Raw genomic sequence first — 23,967 nt, forward strand, 5'->3', positions numbered from 1 at the left:
CTCCAAAGGACTCTACTGGCCAACAACAAAAGTGCCTAACGTATTTCTAGGGAACAATTGTTTTCAAGTTTCTTAGAAAATTTGTCTTCATATGTATAATTCATTTTTAAACTTCCATTCAAAAGTTACAATAGATACTTCCTATAAGTTAAATAGACACAAAATTATAATGCAATTGATTCATTTAGAAAATTAGCTTGTTTAGAACAGGAATTCTTAACCTGGCATCAGTGAACTTGGATAGAAAAAATATGTAACATCTTCATTTTCATTAACCTCTAACTGAAATATAGCATTTTATCCATTGTAAGTATAAGCAATATATTACAGCAGTATTGACACTACACCTGACTTTGTCAGCTATAGAAATCTCAAATCTTTTTATGTCCTATTATAGTTTGATATAGTTTGGCTCTGCATCTTCATCCAGATCTCATGTTGAATTGTAATCCTCAATGTTGGAGGAGGGGCCTGGTGGGAGGTGATTGGACTTCCCCCTTGCTGTTCTTGTGATAGTGAGTGAATTCTCATGAGATCCAGGTGCTTAAAAGTGTGTAGCACTTCCCCCTTTGCTCTCTCTCTCCTGCTCCACCATGTGAAGATGTGCCTGCTTCCCCTTCACCTTCCACCATGATTGTAAGTTTCCTGAGGCCTTCCCAGCCATGCTCTGGTACAGCCCATGGAAATGTAAGTCAATTAAACCTCTTTTCTTCATAAATTACCCAGTCTCAGGTAGTTCTTTATAGCACTGTGAGAACAGACTAGTACAGAGTTGTTGCTGATGTCTTAAAGTATTTATGCTCATCACTTCTTTGAAATTAGTTATTACAGTCACCACTAGAATTTTTTACTTAATGTGTTAATGAAAAGCACATTACAGGTTTGGTTTAATACTTTGATAATGATATTTCAATATGATTGGTTTCTTCTGAAACTAAATACATACTTTATTTTGTGCATTTCAGAACATTATCCTAAAGAGGTGTCTGTAGGTTTCACCAGACTGTGGAAAGATTCCATGGCACAAAAGAGTTAGAATGCTTTTCTAAACCATTACTGAAGAATATTAGAGCCACTCACATCACTCTGCAGGTCATAGGCCTTCCGAGCCTGAATGACGTCATTCTGATCAGGCAGGCAGGTCCATTCATGCAGGGGATGCTTGTAGTCTATGTCGCTTACAAGGATCTGACACTTCTTGGCCAGCACCACCCCCAGCATGTCCACTGGGCTGCTGAACTTGGTCTTCCACTTCTCAAACTCCTTCTTGTACTCCCTGTCACTCTGGATCTTGGCCACATGGATGGACCACATCATCTTCGGGTCATCCTTAATGTTCCGGGCCCCAATATGGTGGCCAAGCTGTTTGCGGTAGCCTTCCTTGTACTTGTACTAAAAAAATAGAGATATGAGTATAATGACAAGAACATCTTATATAATCATGTTTCATAGGTTCACATTCACATTGTTTCTTTTTCTTTTCCCCAACACTATCATGAAGGAGAAAAGTGAGTATCATCAACCCTATTTTTAAAAGTCAAAACCTGAACCTAGCAGGGGTTGAGTGATTTGCGCAGTCACACCACAAGCAGGTGGCAGCATGAGCCTAGAATGAAGAGCTTCTCATTCCTAATATTTTTCCTCCTTATTATACCACACTGCTCAGTTTACATTTGATTCCTTAACAAGTAGAGGTAAATATATTGTACAATCTGATGGAGCATAACAATCTGATGGAAAATAACAGTTATTTTCCCAAAACTGTTTGACATTAAGAATATTTTAGAATAGTTCCCTTATTAGAACTTATAATAGACTTCTCAGTCAAGGATATGTGTTACATTTAGATAGAGTTTATGTGTCACCAGGAAATGGCTCTCTTATCAGCCTGTCAACATCACTGAACTTTCACTATGAGTCAGTTTATCTACCTTGAAGATTCCAGAATAACGCATTATGGTCCATTCTACCATGGTGTGGGCTTCTCCAGCTTAACAGCAAGAAAAGTTTTGATAATACGGTGTGTGTCCTTAACCTTGGCAAAATAAACTTCTAAATTGATTGAGATCTGTTTCAGATACTTTTTAGTTTACAGAAGAAATGAAACATATGTCTAAGGCATGAGGCCCTTCCAGAAGAGGGAAAGTCTGGATTTGAGTCCTAAGGAGGCTTGTTACAGAATGAGGACACTGGCCACCCTTAGGAGGTGTTTCGCATGTGAAGAAAAGGAGTAGAGAAGAGGCAAGCGGGTACTGAGAAAAAGCTCTGCTTACTTTGCCACTTGTTCTTGTGTCCGGTGAGGGACATCTCACCAATTAGGAGTTACAAAGGACAAAACAAATCTCTAAGACATATCCATCTAGTTTTCTTTTAATGCAAGAATAAATAGAAGTAGTAAGGAAGAGTTTACATGTATATTGGCTGTTTCTCACATATTATTTAAAGGGAATAAATTAATCCCTTTAATTTCACAAACATCTAGGTCAACTGCTGCTCAATTATTTATTTATTTTTTTTGAAGACGGAGTGTTCAATTTCTGAAGCTCAAAAATATGAACCCATTTTTGGTGTCCGTAAAACACTTTTTAAAAAATAGTATGTCTCTAGTTTTGATTGATTGATGGGTATAATGGGTCTAGAATTTTGTGCTTTTCTTTTTTTCCATTTACAATTTTGTATAGGGGAAAATCACTAAAGGGAATTGAGACTTATAGGGGTAACTAAATTTCTAGCAAGAAAAACTCTAAAAGCTTCTATTTGTCAACATCTTTGAATAAGAAATGGCTTTTCCAAAACATCCACTTACATCACTAGCAATATCTCTTGAAGCCTTGGCTGCTTGGATTGGAATGGCATCCAGACGCAAGTCATAGCCTTCCTTCTTGGACTCTTCCAAAGCAAGTTTATAGAGTTTCTGTAGAAAAGAAAGTCATTACTCATTTACTCCTTCCATAAAAAGTGAAGCTGTTCATTATTAGTTTTTCTTTGTCCTCATTTAAACTTCAGAAATAATTCACAAAGTCAATCATTAGGGTGGGTTTATAGATAGCTTTGCCTCATGGGTGCTTAGGATTTTTAAGGCACATGTTCCAAACATTGGGATTTTACTGACTTGTAAATTTCAACAAAAAAATGTGGGGAAAAAATCAACATTTGGTTGGCAAAATTTTATTTGCCAAACAAGCAGATGTAAAAAAAAAAATTATTTACTGGCCGGGCGTGGTGGCTCACGCCTGTAATCCCAGCACTTTGGGAGGCTGAGATGGGTGGATCACCTGAGGTCATGAGTTTGAGAAGAGACCAGCCTGGCCAACATGGTGAAATCCCGTCTCCACTAAAAATACAATAATTAACTGGGCATGGTAGCATGCACCTGCAATCCCAGTTACTCGGGAGGCTGAGGCAGGAGAATTGCTTGAACCCAGGAGGCGGAGGTTGCAGTGAACCAAAATTGTGCCACTGCACTCCAGCCTGGGTGACAGAGTGAAACTATGTCTCAAACGTAACAAAACAAAACAAAACAGTATTTATTATTGTCATCATAATATAAAAGACACAGCATCTTAACACAAAAGAAGAATAAAAAACAAGGACAATATTTTAAAATGTACTCTATTCTGTTTTATGAAAAACTCAATGCATTGTGCTTATTTTTTCTTATTTTGCTGTGGACTATTATCTCGGACAATGATTCATATATGGACCTGGGATTTCAGGATCATTGCCCTTTTGAAAATGTTGGTTCTGGCAGAAATGCCTGGAAAAATGTTAACATCAAATGATTATCAGAGCATACTGGAGCAGCAAAATAATATGCGGCTTACTAACTCATCAGATTCCAACCCAGTCCTTGCCTACTTGCTAGCTGCTGAATAAAATAATGACTTGATACCCACAGTGACCTGTAGGGGAAGGTTTTAAAAGTATAATTCCTATGGAAATATTTATTCATAATCATTCAATTCCTGATAACCTGTTAATAAAATGGTAGCCTACTTTGTGGACCCACCACAAAGCTCAAAATTGAATCAAGTGAGAACTATCTCTTCTACTGAAAATGGTAGTTTGTAGTATGTGTAGTAAATTAGTCAAAACCTTTTCCTAAGGAAACAGCTACAGTGGTTCATTTTTGCCTTTCTGTTCATTACAAGATCAACAGTTTACTTACATCACTGTAGTTTATTCGGTTGAGTTTGGCTAACATGATTTCTGGTGTATCAGGCATGACATGAATAGTTTTCTTGTCATTGTCCCAGGCTTCAGTATATAAGCGCTACAAAAAAAAAAAAAAAAGAGAGAGAGAGAGAGAAAAATTATTTTGGTGTTCACAGATATTATTGTTTTGATTATGTGCCAGTCATCTCTCTTGTATACAAGGTAGAAATAAAATTATTAAAGCTGCATAAATTCCTTACCTTTGTTTCTTATTAAAATTCTTTCAATAATCTGTTAAAGGACTTATCGGTTATGAAAAGTATAATTGGATTGAAGTATTTAAAATAATTTATAGGAAAGAGTTATAGCACACAGTATTTTTTTTTTTTTGACAACCTACTAATCCAATCAGAAGCACACAGTACTTTAGGCTGGGCACGGTGGCTTACACCTGTAATCCCAGCACTTTGGGAGGCCGAGATGGGTGGATCACCTGAGCTCAGGAGTTTGAGACCAGCCTTCAACATGGTGAAACCCTGTCTCTACTGAAAATACAAAAATTTGCTGGGTGTGGTGGCAGGCTCCTGTAATCCCAGCTACTTGGGAGGCTGAGGCAAGAGAATTGCTTGAACCCAGGAGGTGGAGGTTGCAGTGAGCCAAGATCGTGCCATTGCACTCCAGCCTGGGCGACGAGAACAAAACTTAGTCTCAAAAAACAAAACAAACAAACAAAAGCACACAGTACTTTTAACAATGGTTTAATATTTTGAAGTATCACTAAGTAACTATGGTATTATAGTGGAAAAATCATTTAAGAAGGTATCATAATGCTTATTATTATCTTTAAAATGCAATAATATATCAGAATTTTTAAATTGTTCTGTGGTAACTTTCGGTATCTAACAGTGAGGATTGAAGACTCACCTTATTCATGTTTAAAGCATTGTTTTTTGCCAGCACCTGCTCCGGAGTGTCCGTTATACTGGTAAATTTCAGCGTTTCTGGACGCTGACGGTAGATAGTATCACTAAGTAATTCTCCAGCTCTCTTGGCCCTAACAACTTCCAAGGAATCAATCGGAACCCAGCCAATGCCTTTCATCCATTCAAGGTCTGACTTATACAAATTCTGCAGATCAACAGATAAGAAACAGATTTATTAATTAGTGTTTCAGATTCATAGTTACAAAATGGGTTATCCTAGAGAAACACAAAAATACCGATGAATAGTTAAGGTTCCTAGCATAGTCATTCACTCACTCACGCACATTATTGAATCCTAAGTGTATTTTTTTTTCTGAGCGTTTTTTTGGTACAGAGGAGTACAGCAAGAATGATAAAAGATCTTCTTTTAAAGTAAAAGACATGGTCCTGCCTATGACAGTATTACAAGATTTTTACAGAGAAGCATGCTTTTTTAGCCTTGGAAAATGTAGTCTAATAGCTCCAAATAAAACCACACACTGAGACTGATGGTGCGTGAGTACTGCAGTCAAAAAATTCTCACTTTTATTTCCATCTTCAAAAATCACAAAACTTCAAGTGTATAAAGGAAATGTGATGTTACAGAGATATGTTTGGTATTTCCTTAATTATTCATTTTATTTTACTCTCAATAGGACATGCTGAATGTTGATAAGTATTAGACGACTGGTTTCGAAAAACGTAAGAATGATAGAATTTTCCCATCAGTAAGTATAAAATGTAAATTAAAGTAATTTAGCATAATATGCTTTCCCTCTATCTCCCTACTGCCCTCTGCCAACAAACACACACATTTTTTTACTTCCTTAGCCAAAAGTTTGCAGTGATATATTTTTAAGGGCTAAGTTTCATCTGATTCAAACAAAGGAAGCCTGAATCCCTAGGAAGATTTATACCTGTTTAGAACTGATAATATTTACTTTGTTTCCTCTCCTACAGAGAACTTTTGGAGAAGAAAACAAATTGTAGTACCTCCAATGGGAAACTCCTTTCAGACATTTAATTGTAAATTGTTTGAAATATACAAACAAATTGCAGTTCATTGGCACTAGTCAGAACTCACAGACACGTTTCAGATCCGCTTTTAACATGCAGAGCTAACATCAAGGAAACTTACGTCACTCTGGAGGTCATAGGCTTTCCGTGCATGAATGATGTCATTCTGGTCGGGCAGGCAGATCCATTCATGCAGAGGATGTTTATAGTCCACATCGCTGACCAAGGTCTGACACTTCTTGGCCAAAACGATACCAAGCATGTCCACTGGGCTGCTGTACCTTGTCTTGTATTTCTCAAAATCTTTCTTGTACTCACGGTCACTCTGCACTTTGGCAATGTGGAGGGACCACATTATCTTGGGGTCATCGTGTACTGCTCGGGCGCCAATGTGGTGACCCAACTGTTTACGATATGCTTCTTTGTATTTGTACTGAAAGAGAGAATCCAGTAAATAAGAAGGAAGCACAAAGGGCTATTCCCTGTTGTTCTTTCTGTGGTGGTGCTTTCTATGAAATCTTTAAGGCAACAGAGGAGTTTCACTGGTCATGCTGCTGTAACGCCACATATTGGACTGTTGTGCTCATTGGCACATGTCCACAGAATAACCCCACAATGGTTCCTTTATATATGCTAGAGAATCATATGTTGGCAAAAAATGATAAAAAGTGAATACTGAAATGAAGAGTCCAATTACAGTAATAAACCATGATGGTGTCTCAGAAATCCATCATGTGAGTGAGCCTATTTAAGAACACACCTGGGGCGTATGTTTACATGGATCATTAAAATTTTCTAGCATAGTCTGAGAAGTAATTTCCTCTTCACAATTGATTTGGGAGAAATAGTTTTAAAATGGACAATTTCTGTTATTTAATAGGTAGAGAGTTTAAGTTTTACAAGATGAAAATTCTGGAAATCTGTTGTACAATAATATGAATATACTGAACCCCACCAAACAGTATACTTGAAAATGGTTAAGATGGTAAATTTTATTATATATATATGTATGTGTGTGTATATATATATATATATATATATATATATATATATATATATATATTTAACCAGAATTTAAACATTTAAAAACCTATAAAAATGAACAATTTTACTACTCTTGGATTAATTTTTAAGATGTCCAGGGATCTGATGTTTTCATTTTTAGGGTAAAGAAATATTGGTTCTGTGCACCACATAGAAAGAAGACTTTGTCTTTCCATGTTCATTTTCAAGTGATGGGGCAAACTCAGTTAAGCCTGCTTCTTTTCTGGCATCTTTGCCTTGAGTGTGTTCCAAGGAAGTTCCTGAGGTTTTGTGAGTAGCTCAGCATACACACATCTAGCTTTAATCGAGGCACTCACTCCTATTGAGCAAAGATCAAAAATAAGGAGTCAAATGAGCCACATTCCAGTCTAGGCTATGCCTCTGTGATGCTTGTGATCTTGGGCAAGTTATCTGTATCTCAACCCTCAGTATATTTGCCTATGCACTGAAGGGAGTTAAGGTGGATGATGACCAAAGAGACATCCAGCTGTATTCTGTGTGGCTGGCATGATGGTAAGAAATGTTAGGACTTGATCAGCTCTTACATCACTGGCAATATCCCGAGAGGCCTTGGCAGCCACAATGGGAATGGCATCACTTCTCAAGTCATAGCCTTCTTTCTTGGCTTCTTCCATGGCCTGACGATAGAGGCTCTGAGGAAAGAAGGAGTAGCTTTTAAATATAGAATTCACATTCACTCGAAAAGTATATTTTCTGCCAAAGGAAGACCACTTTTGGATGCAAAACTACATGAGTATGTTCAGCCTTAAATCAGAAAAAGAACTCTTTCTTTTACTTTCTGTTTATCCTTGGATATTTATTTAAATGAAAATTTCACATTCAGCAAGTTTTAACATCACAACCTCTCTTTGCACAAATCTTTTACACGTTATACATTAAATGAACACCTCTTAATGTGTTTAGATTGTTCACCATTTGCCCTTTTCATGAAACAATCAAGAAATGTTGATTTATTTAACTCCAAATTTGAATTGGGAACATTTTTACTAGCAGAGAACAGTATCATATAATAACATATAATAATACTACCACTAGGAGGATGTGTCCATAATCAAATTTAGTGCTGAACTAAAGATGTGTCATTCTTTCTGAATCTCTCTGTTAATGTTGATTTGCTCCCTATTATTTCATCAACTGCTGCAAGTTGTTCGAGGACATGAGGGTAGCAGGTACCAAAGATTTAGGAGTCAAAACTGCAAAACTTTTTTGACTTCTTCTGTGAATTGAGAAAGCACCACCACTGTTCAATTTCTGTGGCAGGACAGACATGCACAGAAGACAAAACACAAATGTTCCATGGAAGTGTCATTTGAGAACCACGCATTAAACAAATCATATATACCAATGGCTTTTAGCCCTTTTTGTGAACCAGTGATAAAAATTTTGACTGATTCTGTATCCTCTTAACGAAAAATTTTAAGTAATTGCCAACATCGGTATTCAATAAATCAAAACAAGATAAATATACAGTTTGATAATAATTTTTAAACATAAAAAGTAAAAATTTATTGGATCTCTTAATGAGACTTGTAGGAGCTCATGGTGGTTTGATTACAAAGTTTTGATGGGCAATAATGAATTAAGTTGTCTGGTAGAGTTTTGTGGGGTCTTTTTTATTGTTGTTTTTTGTTTTTTGAGACAGTCTCACTCTGTCGCCCAGGCTGGAGTGCAGTGGCACAATCTCGGCTCACTGCCTCCCAGGTTCAAGCGATTCTCGTGCCTCAGCCACCCGAGTAGCTGGGATTACAGGTGTGTGCCACCATGCCCAGCTAATTTTTGTATTCTTTAGTAGAGATGGGTGTTGCTGATCTCAAACTCTTGAACTCAAGTGATCCCTCCTGCCTCAGCCTCCCAAATTGCTGGGATTTCAGGCATGAGCCACTGCACCCAGCCATGTTTGGTAAAGTTTCGTTTTAATACTTTCAGACATGCATCATAGTAACTACTAGGATGAATATGACTATTTCTTTTTCTTTATTTAAAAAATGAAATCTTTATATTATCACACTTAGTCAAATATTTTAATGTATGTTTTAATATTTTAAAATGTATACTTTCCACCTTTTGCAAAACTTCAAACTTACAGAAAAGTTGCAAGAATGCTACAATGAATACCAACTATCCAATTTATTAACATTTTTGCCATATTTGCTTTCTCTAGCTCTCTCTTTATGTGTTTGTGTATTTCTTCATTTTACTTATTATTATTATTTTCAATTGTTGAACTGATTAAGAGAAAATTGTACACATTATGGCCTTCATCCTTGAATACTTTACCATGTATCTCCTAAGAATAAAGATATTTTTATATAATGACAGTATATGTATCAGACTCAGGAAATTTAATATTGATACAGTATTATTGTCTAGTATTATTCTCTTTTACTATCAAATATACGGTGAATATTCAAATTTCATCAAATGTCCCAATAATTTCCTTTATAGCAATGTTGCTTTTCTATCCAGAATTCAGTTCAAGAGAATGAGTAGCATTTAGTTCTCTAGTTTATTTCTTCACCTTTAAACCATGCCTTTTTTGTTTTAACATGAGAGAAGAGTGATTATGAAAGAAGTGGGATGCCACTCAAGCTGTAGGGGCATTCTTGGGCAGATAATTTAGAAGAGTGTATGTATGGAAGTTGAAGCTATGTTAACTGATTTACTTAAAACGATCCATGCCAGTTTACCCCTTGGAAAGCCTTTGTGTAACCTCAAGGATGGTAGGTAGCTGAGGTTTGAAAGCAGCTCATCTATATCCAAATACAGCCTTTAGATCAATCTATGATTGAACAATTTAATCTTTAATTTCACTTTCCCCCTTTCCTCTTTTAAGAGGTTTATTGAGTTAGATAAAGCAGACACAGTACCAGTAGATAGTTCTGGAAAAGAATTTAGAAATAATGCATGGCTTTAAGGGAAAAACTACAAAGATTTACAGTTCTATAAAGCTTTATCATCCCTCTACTTTATACTGTTCAGTGTACTTTTCATTGCTGAGCCTGTGTAAAGACAAAATCTTAAACATAAGGAAAATCCCTAAAAAGTGTGATACAAATAATTAAACTTCATTTTTATACCCCATTCTCAAATTAGATTGAATTAAGGATACCGGACTAGTATCTGGATTTTAAATATGCTACAGATGCATTTAATATTTTTTAATATTTTTAATGACTTAAGACTCTTACAGGGTCACTATTATGTTTATAAAGTGGATTATTAAGATGTGTCAGTTTATAGTCTTTTCAAGATGAGATTTTATAAGAAAAAGCTAAAGTAAAAATAAGAATCAATTTAATATCTTTGAGATAAATTCCAGAGGGAATCTGTTTTTCTTCAAAATTTCTAGGAATGTTTCTTTTGAAACTGGAAGGTCAAATACTTTATTTATTACATTTTTTCTTTAGGAATAAATGTTCATATTTTAAAAATGGTATAAGTGGGAAAAAATGTGCTTCAATCATCTCATGGCTTCAGGCCAAAAAAATAGAGTTCTTTAATTCTTTCAGCATTTAAAAAAGATGCAGTGCTTCAAAGGAGAGAACACTTTTAGCTATCATCAGGGATGTATTTTAAAGCTTGTTACTTAAGAAAACTAAAATAAGTAAATGAGAATTTAAGAGGAAAAAAACAGATGTGTTTGTTTTGTTTTACATTTATGCAATGAAGGAACCACGGGCAATGGGTTGAGAAGAAATTCTAGTGGGCCATTCTGAAATGTGATCTTAGATTCCTCAGAGAATCAACATCATTATGCAATTTTATTTTTATTTATTTGTATGTATTCATGGGGGATGAGTGCAATTTTGCTACATTAATATATTGCACTGTGGTGAAGTCAAAGCCTTCAATGCATGATCATGCAATTTTAAAGAAAGTAAATCCAGCTGAAAATTTTAGAATTAAAAAATAGCCCAATATCCTTGCAGCAGTCTGAAAAAAAAATCTACTTCAGTTCCCCTAATGTAAACAAATGAGAGAGGATTAAGAGCTTCATTATAATCTGGAATAGAAACTAACTTCATCTGCCTTGGATAAAATAAACCTCCTGGGAGAAGATAATCCAACTGAGAAGCTCTGTGGCCAAGAGAAAATGGCCCATTCAAAAGTGACTGAAGCCAAGGCCAATCAAATATCTATAATCAGGCTTGTCCTTTGGTCTGTTTTATAATGCTGGAGAAAGTGAAATCATACCCTCTCCATTTTTTAAGGCTACATTATTATAGGCAAAAGTAATTATTATGGGTAAAGTAATAAATTTGGTCATCTTAAAAATTAGTACTTAAATTTTTCAGTGCTCTCAAACTGAAGACAACTCTGCCTTCCTTTTTCTCTAAAAAAAAATGAAGACACATAGACATGTTTAAAAAATTAGTATCCTTCTTGAATCAACCATATACATTTTTGACTTTGGCAAGAACAATTGAGCAAGACGCTATTTATGCAGCAGTATTTCTGGACTGCAAAGATATGCAATGACAAGTTTAGCAAGGCTGAAGATAGTTCATAAAAGAATGTATTTTATTGTTCTCAGGCAATTTGAAATGGGTGAATTTAAGAATTCTCATTTCAGTTCTTGTAAATAAAGCTCAAGTTATTTTGAGCACATTAAATACATCTAATTTTCATGGTGACTTGAGCATAAAGGAGAGACATTAAAGTTTATTAAACAAATACTTTGCACCAGGCTTCACACTGGGCATGTTAAATATTTTACCTCATTTAGTCATTCTTTAAAAATTCTTTAAGGTAAGCATTTTAATCCTATTTTACAGATGAGGTAATTGAAGAAAATAAACTTGCCGCACAAATTTTGAAGCAAGTACTAATTTGATGAATAGCAAGAATTATTTTTAATGAAAATTATGTTTTAGTCATTAATAGTTGACTTGAGATATTTTTTCCCTCCTGAAATGAAGATATTTTTGTGTCTGTCTGTCTATCTGTCTGTCTAATCTATCTACCTTTCTATCTGCCTATTTTTTAATACAATAATATGTATATTCAAGGTAGGGTAAATGGCATAAAAAGCCAACTAAGCTAACTGGCTTACATGAGGATTAATTTCATAATTCTCACATTCCTACATCGGCAACAATCAATGTGGCCAGACCAAAGAAATAAAACAAATGATCTTACCTCACTATAATTTATTTTATTTTGTCTTGCCAACATGATTTCAGGTGTATCAGGCATAATATGGACTTGGGTCTTGTCTTTGTCCCAGGCTTCTGTGTATAAGCGCTGTGAAGGATAAAAAGGTTAATGAATTAGAAAAACAGTTTGTTGTAAACAGGAGTTTTCAATTAAGACACCATGACAAAGTTGAGAGCCAGCTTTCTTGCTGTCTGTTCCATGTATGTTAATATTCTTTTCAACCTCTTTGATTTTACAAGACATTTATTGTAACAAAATATAAATGTATACTAAGATATGAAAAGAAAAATATATATATACATATAATCAAACACACACACACATATACACACCCACGTGTGTGTGTTTGGTAACCAGGTCACTCTCACCCCAATTAAATAAAAAGCAAGTATTTCTCAAGCATATATTCACATCCATATCTGTAGTATGACTATATTAACAAATCCTTCCCATGATTTTATTTGTTTGATGCTGTTTGTTGTTAGTTTATTAGCTGCAAATGTACCTGTATGTGCTATCTCTAGATTTCTTTTTGATAAATGTTATGAAGATTTGCATCTTTCTTTTTTTTTTTTTTTATGAGACAGAGTTTCACTCTCTTGCCCAGGCTGGAATGTAGTGGTACAGTCACAGCTCACTGCAGCCTCAACCTCTCCAGGCTCAGGTGATCCTCCCACCTCAGCCTCCCAAGTACCTAAGACTAGAGGTGCGTGTCACCACACCCGGCTAACTTTTGTATTTTTTGTAGAGACAGGGTTTCAACATGCTGCCCAGGCTAATCTCAAACTGCTGAGCTCAAGTGATCTGCCCACCTCAGCCTCCCAAAAGTGTTGAGATTACAGGTGTGAGACACCATGCCCGGCTTGCATCTTTCTTGTTTGCTCTGTGCTTACCTAAATAAGTACTCAGCAAGAAAGAAACCATACCAAATCATATATAACTAACTCTTATAGACTTCAAACAATTTGAACCCATAATAGCTGTCCCATTCTTTTTTTTTTTTGAGACGGAATCTTGCTCTGTCGCCCAGGCTGGAGTGCAGTGGCGCGATCTCAGCTCACTACGAGCTCCGCCTCTCAGGTTCACACCATTCTCCTGCCTCAGCCTCTTGAGTAGCTGGGACTACAGGCGTCTGCCACCATGCCCGGCTAATTTTTTGTATTTTTAGTAGAGACAGGGTTTCACCGTGGTCTCGATCTCCTGACCTCATGATCCGCCTGCCTTGGCCTCCCAAAGAGCTGTGCCATTCTTAACTCTGGCTATTTCACAAGAGATGTCAAAGCAGAAATGCTCCCATATATTGTTATCTAACAGAATAGAGAATTCAACTGAATCACTATACATTGGATAGCAATTTAATTGGATTTAAAAAAGAGACTAACTTAATTAACAATAGGTATCTTGAATGACATATAGCCCTGTCTTATTTTCCTACAAATTGGGGGCTCACCTTGTTCATATTGAGAGCATTGTTCTTGGCCAGCACCTGCTCTAGAGAGTCAGTCACACTGGTAAATTTCAGCTTGTCCGGAGGCTGGCGGTAGATGTTATCACTCAGTATTTCAGCAGCTCTCTTGCACTTGACCACATCCATAGACCCAATGGGGACCCAGCCAATGCCTCTCAGCCACTGGAGATCAGATTTGTAAATGTTCTGGAGAGATTAAACACAAAAGCGAGTATTACTGAAGTTGTTTTAACATGATTTCAAAAATAAAAAAATAACACTAGAAAGCTTGGATAGTCAAATTTCATGTATACGTTCTTCAATATATGAAGGCCAAATTGAATACAGTCTCAGGTATTACTTTCTTTCTCTCCAAAAAAAGTAAGGGGAAGAGTTGCCTAAAAAATGAGCAGAGAGAAGAAATGTCATCCCTTCTGAAGGTTCTACCTAATGCTAGACCACTGTCTCAGTATTTCTATGAATTACTATTATGAGCACAGTTACCATGGATCTTAATTACTCACATCGCTCTGGAGGTCATAGGCCTGCCGAGCATGGATGACATCATTCTGGTCGGGCAGGCACGTCCACTCGTGCAGGTAGTTCTTGTAGTCCACATCGCTGACTAAGGTCTGGCACTTCTTGGCTAACACCACTCCCAGCATGTCCACTGGGCTGCTGAACTTGGTCTTCCACTTCTCAAAGTCCTTCTTATACTCCCTGTCACTCTGGATCTTGGCCACATGCATGGACCACATCATCTTGGGGTCATCTTCAATGTTCCGGGCTCCAATGTGGTGGCCGAGCTGCTTGCGGTAACCATCTTTGTATTTGTACTGAAATAAAGGTGGTCATTTCAAAAATAAAAATGAATAGAAAGGCTTAGAAGCCTCATTAATTTAAAACTTTATTATTTTAAAATTGCTAATTCTTGCAGAGTAATGAAAGAATCTGCATATCAGTTTATCTCCTCATCCTAAATTCTTATTAGACTCTACAGCACTAATCTAATGGGCAGTAGTCTAATGCGAAGTCTCATAAATAGTCTAACAGCAACAGTCTAATGGGAATAGTCCAGTGGGAAGACAGGCCAAACTACATGGTCCTATGGCTTGTAGACGTTAAGTTTCTGAAAATAAAGGAAGCAACACTTTCCGGAAGATCTTTCGGTACTGTGTACTGCCATTTCTTCATCTTGGGCCCATGAAATCACTAACCCAGAAATTTTACATATGATTTTGAGACTGCTATTCCTGAGTCCACAGATACCATTTTATCCCTCCATCCAACACACCCACACTCCTTCCCAAATCCAGCTCTGCTGGGGCACTTGACTCCCTGAAGTGGTCTGGATTATATTCCCATACTACAAGCCCTGCTCTGTTGGAGATCAAATTTGACTGAGGTTTGTTTGGGATTCCTCAAGTGAAAAATGGAATATGTATCTACAAAAAAGCATTTTGTTGTTGGTGGTGGTAAGGGCAAACTGGATATTTTCTCCCTATTTCAGACAACACACCACACCAATCCCAACAAATATTTACAGAAGTCCGAATTTTCAGCTGGGCATAGTGGCTTATGCCTGTAATCCCAGCACTTTGGGAAGCCGAGGGAGGCGGATCGCCTGAGGTCAGGAGTTTGAGACCAGCCTAGCCAACATGGTGCAACGCTGTCTCTACTAAAAATACAAAAAATACTAAATACTAAAAAAAAATTAGCCAAGTGTGGTGGCTGGTGCCTGTAATCCCAGTTACTTGGGAGGCTGAGGCAGGAGAATCACTTGAACCCGGGAGGCGGAGGTTGCAGAGAGCCAAGATCATACCATTGCACTCTAGCCTGGGCAACAAGAGTGAGACTCTGAGACTCTGTCTCAAACAAACAAACAAACAAACAAAAACAAAAGAAAAGAAGAAGAAGAAGAAGAAGAAGAAGTCTGAATTTTCCACCAAAGAACCCACCTCTTTCAGAGATGGCAGGAGGAGAAATTAGGTTCACCATTTTCTTGTTTTCCTCGTCTTTGTCTTTCTGTTTTCATTTTAAAAGAACTCAAAAGGAAGGATTTAAGATAATTTTCCAAAAAAAAATGAGTTGGCAAAAACACAGAGCAGATTTGGGGAAAGGTGGATTTTCCTAGACTTGGTTCTATCAGCTCTTCTTCTGATATTGAACCAATACATGTAACTAAGTTATTTTTTAACACCTCTTTTGCCATTTTCTATTTTCTGTGAGGCTCTATGCTCAAAATATGGAGATGAATTTCTCATAATTGTAGATATGAAAAATTATAGAATCACATCCAATTTTATACTGCATTGAAGTATACTGGTTTAGGTTACCCCCTTCCTACCTGGGACATAGATACTGAAGTCTTCCGAAGCTTAAAACATGAGTTTTTTCAAATGAAAAACTTTGAATTTGAATTTGATTTAGAAAAACAAGCCAATAAATGTGCTTAAACTGGCCCCCAAATGTTATAATAGTAATAATCCTGCCTCCCCACTTCATCCATCCATGTAAATATCTAGGGTGTTGCTACTCACATCACTGATAACGTCCCTGGAGGCCTTGGCAGCCACGATGGGGATGGCGTCACTTCGCAAGTCGTAGCCTTTCTTTTTTGCTTCTTCATTGGCAAGTTTGTATAGAGTCTATGAAAAGAAAGGCAAAGAGTTAAAGCAAAAGGTTTGACATCAACAATTCAGAGATTATTAAGTGACTTATATCCTAAAATTTAAAAAAGGATAGGAACTGGAGACAATTCAAGTTTCTGGCAATAGTGGAAAGCAAATAAATTATATTCTACCAAAAATACTATATAGCGTTAGAAATAAATGGGATATATCAATGAACATTAATATATAGTGATATATTAACCTATTATATATCATTATAGATTAATATGCTATACATAGATCAATATGATGTACATATCAGCATAGATCAATACAATCTAGTAATACAGATTGATGAGCAAAGCAGCAATCCAAACATACCACTAAGTGAAAAAAAATGGTAGAACAATGTTTAATATCTATCTATACGTATAAAAATATATTTTTATTCATTTTTATTACCTACAATTTGTATGACAATCATATTTTATAATGTTTAAAAGACAAATAAGAAAAATTAAAATATAACAAAATATAGTTAACAACCATAATCACAACTTTCTAAATTTTGGTTGTATCATATTAATAAACCACGTGTCTATAAAATTGCATTTTACTTTTAAAAAAGTCAGTAATCAATGTTGTTGATAGAGAACACTTCTTCCTTATGCCTAAGGTTTTCTTTCTATAGACAAAGCTCAGTTATTTTAACTGAGGCCTTTTCTGCCCCTTTACTCTCTCTGCCCTGGAAAGGTGCAGTGATTTACTGATGTATCTAATTGGTAGGGATGGAATTAGTGGGCATGAATATTTTGGCAGAAATAATGGGCCAGTATTTTATCTGACAATCCTCTGAAGTGTCTAAAATACTACTCAGTCCCACTGACTCACTGGAAATCACCACGAACAGAAAAGACATTGTGACTTCAGTTTGCCAGTGGAATCCCATAAAATGTAATATTTAACCCAGAGATGAAAGGTTGGATGAGTGGAGTGTTAAATGAAAGAGCCACATGCACCATGACAGCTGAGGCCCAAGAATCTCCACAAAACTAAGTATAGACACCACCACCACAATATAGCACCACAGATTTTTGCTCCTACCTCACTGTAGTTGATTTTGTTCTGCCTTGCCAACATAATCTCTGGTGTATCAGGCATTATGTGAATTTGAGTCTTGTCTTTGTCCCAGGCCTCTGTGTATAAACGCTATAAAAGAAGATAAGATGCTGATTAAAAATCATTTGAAATAGAAATGACAAAAAGTTCATTTAAAACTGTTATTACTGACCTAATTAGGAAAAATAAGCCAGACTTGAATATAAAGTATTCTACTGGAAGTGTGAGTCTTATTACTAGTTATCAAGATTGAAACTTGGAATAATCAAAATTATTTAGAGGATTTCAAGCATGTAATTTAAAAGGTAAAAATGCGACCCCACGCCTTCATAGATAATTTAGACTCCATTAGTCATTAAAGTATAATAACATCTTCTGGCATCTTGGAGAAGCTTAAGGCAGCTAGGACTCACCTTATTCATGTTGAGAGCATTGTTCTTGGCCAGCACCTGCTCTAGAGAATCAGTCACACTGGTAAATTTCAGCTTGTCCGGAGGCTGGCGGTAGATGTTATCACTCAGTATTTCGGTAGCTCTCTTGCACTTGACCACATCCATAGACCCAATGGGGACCCAGCCAATGCCTCTCAGCCACTGGAGATCTGACTTGTAAATATTCTGAGCAGAGGAAAAAAGTCAAAAACTCTTCATCAAGACCACAATATTTAGGGTAAATATGCAAATAGAATCAGTAATAAAGTGCAATTCTGTTTTCTATTCGTAGAAAACAAGCGCGTTGTATAAGGCAAACTAAAAGAATTATGCTCAAAAATGACCCAGAAATATCTCCTAGCCATAATAAAAAGTTATCAAACATTTCAGGTTATTAGGAGAGGAGTGATCCCAAGTAATATCTTCTGTCAGTTGGTTCAGTGAACATTATCATAATTATAACATCCCTATGCAGGGAAGAATACCAACCCAGAGAGACAGAAACCACACCCGTGCCCAACATCAGGCCCTTAGTGAATCAATTTTAGGCCGAGGCAAATGGAACACTCTGAAGCCATTAAAAGCTTCACTGTTGAAGAATATTTATGACATGTAGAAATGTCATTAATACAATATGAAATTTTAAAGTAGCACATAAAACAATGTGGGTAGATAAATTACATGAATAAGAGTGGGTTTTTCTAGTGGTTGGATTGTTTTGGATTCTTATTCCCTGCGATGTATTCTTCTATACATTTCAAAATATCTGTAATGCCTTTAAAAACACAGTTAAAATATAACAGTGCTGTAGAACCCCTGAAGCCCTGAGATCTTCAACAGCTGTAACTCTGTCCAAGATTCAGGGCAATAAAATTTAATTATTTATTAAATGGACAATTTCATTGTGCAGGGCCCCAGTCTCTTCCTCACCAAGTCCTCAGGATGGAAGCACAGACACCTATATAAAATCATATTGCCATATTTTTCTCACTTTATTAAAAAATTTTTTTTTGCTGAAGGTTTTTATATACCCATTAGATATTCATAACTGCTTCACAATCATAGTTTTGAATCTTTGTTTGGCTCATTGGAAAGATTTCACCTGTCACAGAAACTAAGTAGAAAATAAAAAAACTTGTATTTTGTAGTCTAGACAAAAAAAAAAAAACTATTAGAATTAGCCTGTGCTGACTAGTTATTGCCCCACAAATAACAATAGCAAGAATGAAAACAGGACAGGTGTTGGGGTCCACGCCTGTAATTCCAGCACTTTGGGATGCTGAGGGGGGCAGATCACCTGAGGTCAGGAGTTGGAGACCAGCCTGGCCAATATGGCGAAACCCCATCTCCACTAAAAATACAAAAAATTAGTGGGGCAGGGAGGCAGCAGCCTGTAATTCCAGCTGCAGGGAGGCTGAAGCATGAGAATCACTTGAACCCGGGAGGCGAAGGTTGCAGTAATCCGAGATCGCGCCACTGCACTCCAGCCTGGGCGACAGAGGGAGACTCTGTCTCAGAAAAAAAAAAAAAAAAAAAGAATGAAAACAATAACAGTTTATACCTCCAGAATGCTTTTTAACTTTCAAATACTTCCCACATTATGAAGGTCATATCGCAGGGTGAGGAAGGTAATCCAGAGAAGGTGCCCAACAAATAGACAGATGGTAAGCAATCTGTCAATATTGTCGTTGTATGGGTGACATCAACCCTTTTAAACTATCTTTTCTGTGCAGGCAAAGCCTTTCTTTTTGGAAAGAATTGCAAAACACAGGGTTCTGTATGTCAGAAGCTACAGAACAGACGTGGGAGTTTTCTCAGGTAGGCTGTAAGTTTTTAGGAACAACCAATTAATGTATAATTATTACAAATTAGTTTTAGTTTCCAAAACTTGCTAGTGCTTTAATTCCTTCAAAGTTTATAAAATACCTAGTGCAGGAAATGTGCCTCTCATATCCAGATTTGAGATAGTGTATCTGCTTCCAATAGGTAGTAGGCTCTGTCATTACCATGTGGCTCCTCCATAGACAGCCAGGCTAAGAGGAAGTGTCTGTGAAACAGTCCAGTAGTGTACAGACACAGAGACTTCTTTTATTTCATAAGCATAATATTTAGTGTTGCAGTAGGCATTAGAATTCAATAATTCTTTGGTTTGCAAAGAAGCCAAAAACAAATTCCACAGTAATTTCTTTTTAAAGTAAAAACGTTTCTTCCTTCCTTAAAAAAAGAATAAATGTCTCCCTCTAGTGGACCCTGAATTCTAATGTTACTTAATTCCCATTTTGTTTTTATAAGACCAAGTCCACTTTGTTAATTTTACTTTCTTATGAAGTCTATTAGTGTATTCATAATAAAGCAATAAAATTGTATTCTGATTTAAATCTTATTCATGGACCAATCAATCTTAACTTGAGTAATGGATTGTATATAAAGGATAATTTTCACATAGTTTAAATTATTTCTATGCACAGCTCCATTTATAGATGCTGTACTCACGTCACTCTGGAGGTCATAGGCCTGCCGAGCATGGATGACATCGCTCTGGTCAGGCAGGCATGTCCACTCGTGCAGGTAGTTCTTATAGTCCACGTCACTGACTAAGGTCTGGCACTTCTTGGCCAGCACCACCCCCAGCATGTCCACTGGGCTGCTGAACTTGGTCTTCCACTTCTCAAAGTCCTTTTTGTACTCCCTGTCACTCTGGATCTTGGCTACGTGCATGGACCACATCATCTTGGGGTCATCTTCAATGTTCCGGGCTCCAATATGGTGGCCAAGTTGCTTGCAGTAACCATCTTTATATTTGTACTAAAATGAAAATGCACAAATCAGGTTTTTATTGTAACCCCTTAGAGGCCACAAGTCTGTGCAAAATCAACTTGCTTACATCATACTTCAACTGACTTTTGTTAACAAGTACTAACTCAAGCCAGTATCCTGGCTTTCATCCTGGAAGCCCTTACAGAGGTAGAAAAATAGATGGAATTCATGTAATTGTAGTATATACCCCAAATCACCTACAGCCTGGTACTAAGGGATACCTCTGAAAACAAGAAGTGCATATGTGGGGAAAAGGTCACCTGTGGAAGTCAGGGAGAGAACATTTGAACCAGGGAACCTGTAGAATTGGATTCTATACACTAAAAGCATGTCAGGAAGAGGGTGCACTTGGTAGAATGGTGTCTTTGATAAACAGTAAAATGAGGCTGGGCACGGTGGCTCATGCCTGTAATCCCAGCACTTTGGGAGGCTAAGGCAGGTGGATCATGAGGTCAGGAGATCAAGACCATCCTGGCTAATATGGTGAAACCTCGTCTCTACTAAAAATAAAAAAATAAGCCGGGCGTGGTGGCGGGCGCCTGTAGTCCCAGCTACTTGGGAGGCTGAGGCAGGAGAATGGCATGAACCCAGGAGGCAGAGCTTGCAGTGACCCAAAATTACGCCACTGCACTCCAGCCTGGGTGACAGCAAGACTCCATCTCAAAAAAATAAAATAAAATAAAATAAAAACAGTAAAATGAGTGACTGATTCCTGTAAGGATCACCTGTAGTAGCAACCGAGGAGAATTTATTATTATTATTATTATTTTACTAGATTCATGCATTCAATGGCAGTGGCAAGCTTTTGGCATCATTTTGAAAACTGATTGTACTTGTAAAACTGACATAGCAACCCAACTGGTTAGATTATGCTCTTAATAAGGTCATGGGTTCTAGCCTCACATGTATCAACAATGTTTTTATTATTCATGTCCAATGACTTCATTCTGGAATCTAAGCCAGTTATCCAAAATACATGCTTCTAGTCTCAAAGACAACTGACCGAGAAAGTGTAGGTGAGTCAGCAAGAGACAATATGGTACAGTGGAAAGGAATGAGATTGTTCAGAGTCCCAACTCCCCCACTCACTAGGAGTTTGATTTGAGGCAAGTTGCTTAAACAATCCTCAAAATGGGGATAATGATAATATCTACATCCTAGGGCAATTATGAAGAGTAAGTGAGACAATGCATATAAAGCTCTTAGCAAAGAGTTCTCAATACTTCTTGGTTATTATTATGTCATTATTTATTATTATTGGCATAAGTCCATTTGCTGGGAGGGTCCAACATACATAAAGTTGAGTCACTAACATAAGATTCCAATATAAAGGACAGCAAGTGGGCCTTGATTTTTAGAGCCGTCATTTGTTCCTCAAGAATCCCTGAGGCACCAGAAAAGGATGACAGTTTTGCTCTGGGAGACGTGCTAAATGGCTAGGAGCTATTGCTAAGAGTGTGACCTCACGCTTGTAAAACCAGCACTTTGGGAGCCTGAGGCAAGTGGATCACCTGAGGTCAAGAATTTGGGACCAGCCTGGCCAACATGGTGAAAACCCATCTCTACTAAAAATACAAAAAATTATGGGCGTGGTGGTGAGTGCCTGTAATCCCAGCTACTCGGGAGGCTGAGGCAGGAGAATCGCTTGACCCCAGGGGGCAGAGGTTGCAGTGAGCTGAGATCAGGCCATTGCACTCCAGCCTGGGCAACAAGAGCAAAACTCTGTCTCCAAAAAAAAAAAAAAAAAAAGAGTGTAACCTTAGGTCAGCAGTCACCTCTGGTACTGATCAACTGCCTTCTTTTCATAAGGGCAAATTTCAATAGCAAGCACCGCATGTGTTTTAAAATACTATCTATTCAAATGTTACATAAAGCCAGGCCCTGAATCTCACTGGCAGAACCTAAGTTTATGAGTTATATCTTCTATAAGCTTTTCTATAAGCCGGTGATAATTCTTACATAAGCATCTCCAAGCCTGCAGCTTCACTCTAACAGGGTCCACATGAATGAATCTTTCTCTATTTTTGGTTGACCAGTTTTCACAGAAGACGCTGTGTCCTGTAGGTTACAGATCCCTCTTATAAACATCAAGATTTTCATTTCCCTTAAAACTGAGGTTTTGAAAAATCCTACACAAATATATCAGGATATATTTTCAAAGGTCCAGGAAAAGTTCTTTTCTAAGATTTAGTTCAGTGAAAATGCCACATTAGATTGATCACATACTCAGAATGGAATTGACAACTCACGTCACTGATGATGTCCCTGGAGGCCTTGGCCGCCACGATGGGGATGGCGTCGCTTCGCAAGTCATAGCCTTTCTTCTTTGCTTCTTCATTAGCAAGTTTGTACAGACTCTAAATTTGGGGGAAAAAAAATCAGATGCTGACATTTATATCTAAAAACTGACAGAGGACTAAGACAATTCACTAAGTTCTCCACAGACAGTGCCTATAATAATCTTTCTTTTGAGAGTTCTAAGCCTTCTGCATGTTTGTTGAAGTGAAGACTCAAAAATGAGGCTAGGTGTGGTGGCTCACACCTGTAATCCCAGCACTTTGGGAGGCAGAGGCGGGTGGATCACCTGAGGTCAGGAGTTCGAGACCAGCATGGCCAACATGGTGAAACCCCATCTCTACTAAATATAAAAAAAATTAGCTGGGTGTGGTGGTGCATGCCTGCAATCCCAGTTACTTGGGAGACTGAGGCAGGAGAATTACTTGAACCTGGGAGGCGGAAGTTGCAGTGAGCTGAGATTGTGCCAATGCACTCCAGCCTGGGCAACAAGAGTGAAACTCCATCTCAAAAAACAAAACAAAACAAAAAAAAAAGATACCCATAAAGCCCAATGCACCTTTATTTTTTACTTTAAAAATTATGTTGAATTAAGTATATATACATATTACAGGTTGTTTTAAAAAATTTTAGTTAAAACAATAAATCCAGTTTAAAAATTACAGGAAAAATTAAGCTGAAACTCATAGTTCTAGCATGGTAAAATGTGGGTGGGAGGGAAAGGCTTAACTGTTGATCATGGCAATCAATTCAACTCACATTTATTCTGCCCTGACCCTGTGTCTCTGACTGTGCGGGGTACTTGGGAATCAAAGATGAGGTTGAGACCCCTCTCAACCTAAAGGTTCCTGGGAGAACTGATGGAGAGACTGATAACCTGTGGAAGCAAC

The 23,967-nt window shown here is 37.2% G+C and overlaps 1 protein-coding gene across 47 annotated transcripts in view; it reads right to left on the bottom strand.

Annotated features, from left to right (window-relative positions):
* The window catches only part of NEB (nebulin), a 249,138-nt gene that overhangs the window by 127,857 nt on the left and 97,314 nt on the right, over positions 1-23,967 (bottom strand). For 43 of the 47 annotated variants that reach the window (XM_005246613.3, XM_005246612.3, XM_047444485.1 and 40 more), the window contains 14 exons: positions 23,032-23,139; positions 20,459-20,770; positions 17,948-18,151; positions 17,520-17,624; positions 16,344-16,451; positions 14,328-14,639; positions 13,807-14,010; positions 12,339-12,443; positions 7,724-7,831; positions 6,256-6,567; positions 5,080-5,283; positions 4,169-4,273; positions 2,807-2,914; positions 1,081-1,392 (listed from right to left, as the gene is read on the bottom strand). In XM_005246613.3, the coding sequence (XP_005246670.1) occupies positions 1,081-1,392; positions 2,807-2,914; positions 4,169-4,273; positions 5,080-5,283; positions 6,256-6,567; positions 7,724-7,831; positions 12,339-12,443; positions 13,807-14,010; positions 14,328-14,639; positions 16,344-16,451; positions 17,520-17,624; positions 17,948-18,151; positions 20,459-20,770; positions 23,032-23,139 (2,607 nt within the window). The remainder of the gene's footprint in view (positions 1-1,080; positions 1,393-2,806; positions 2,915-4,168; positions 4,274-5,079; positions 5,284-6,255; positions 6,568-7,723; positions 7,832-12,338; positions 12,444-13,806; positions 14,011-14,327; positions 14,640-16,343; positions 16,452-17,519; positions 17,625-17,947; positions 18,152-20,458; positions 20,771-23,031; positions 23,140-23,967) is intronic. The other 4 variants (NM_004543.5, XM_011511226.3, XM_005246617.3 and 1 more) reach the window with 4 other exon arrangements.

Source organism: Homo sapiens, chromosome 2, assembly GCF_000001405.40.
Source record: "Homo sapiens chromosome 2, GRCh38.p14 Primary Assembly".
NCBI classification, from domain to species: Eukaryota; Metazoa; Chordata; class Mammalia; order Primates; family Hominidae; genus Homo; species Homo sapiens.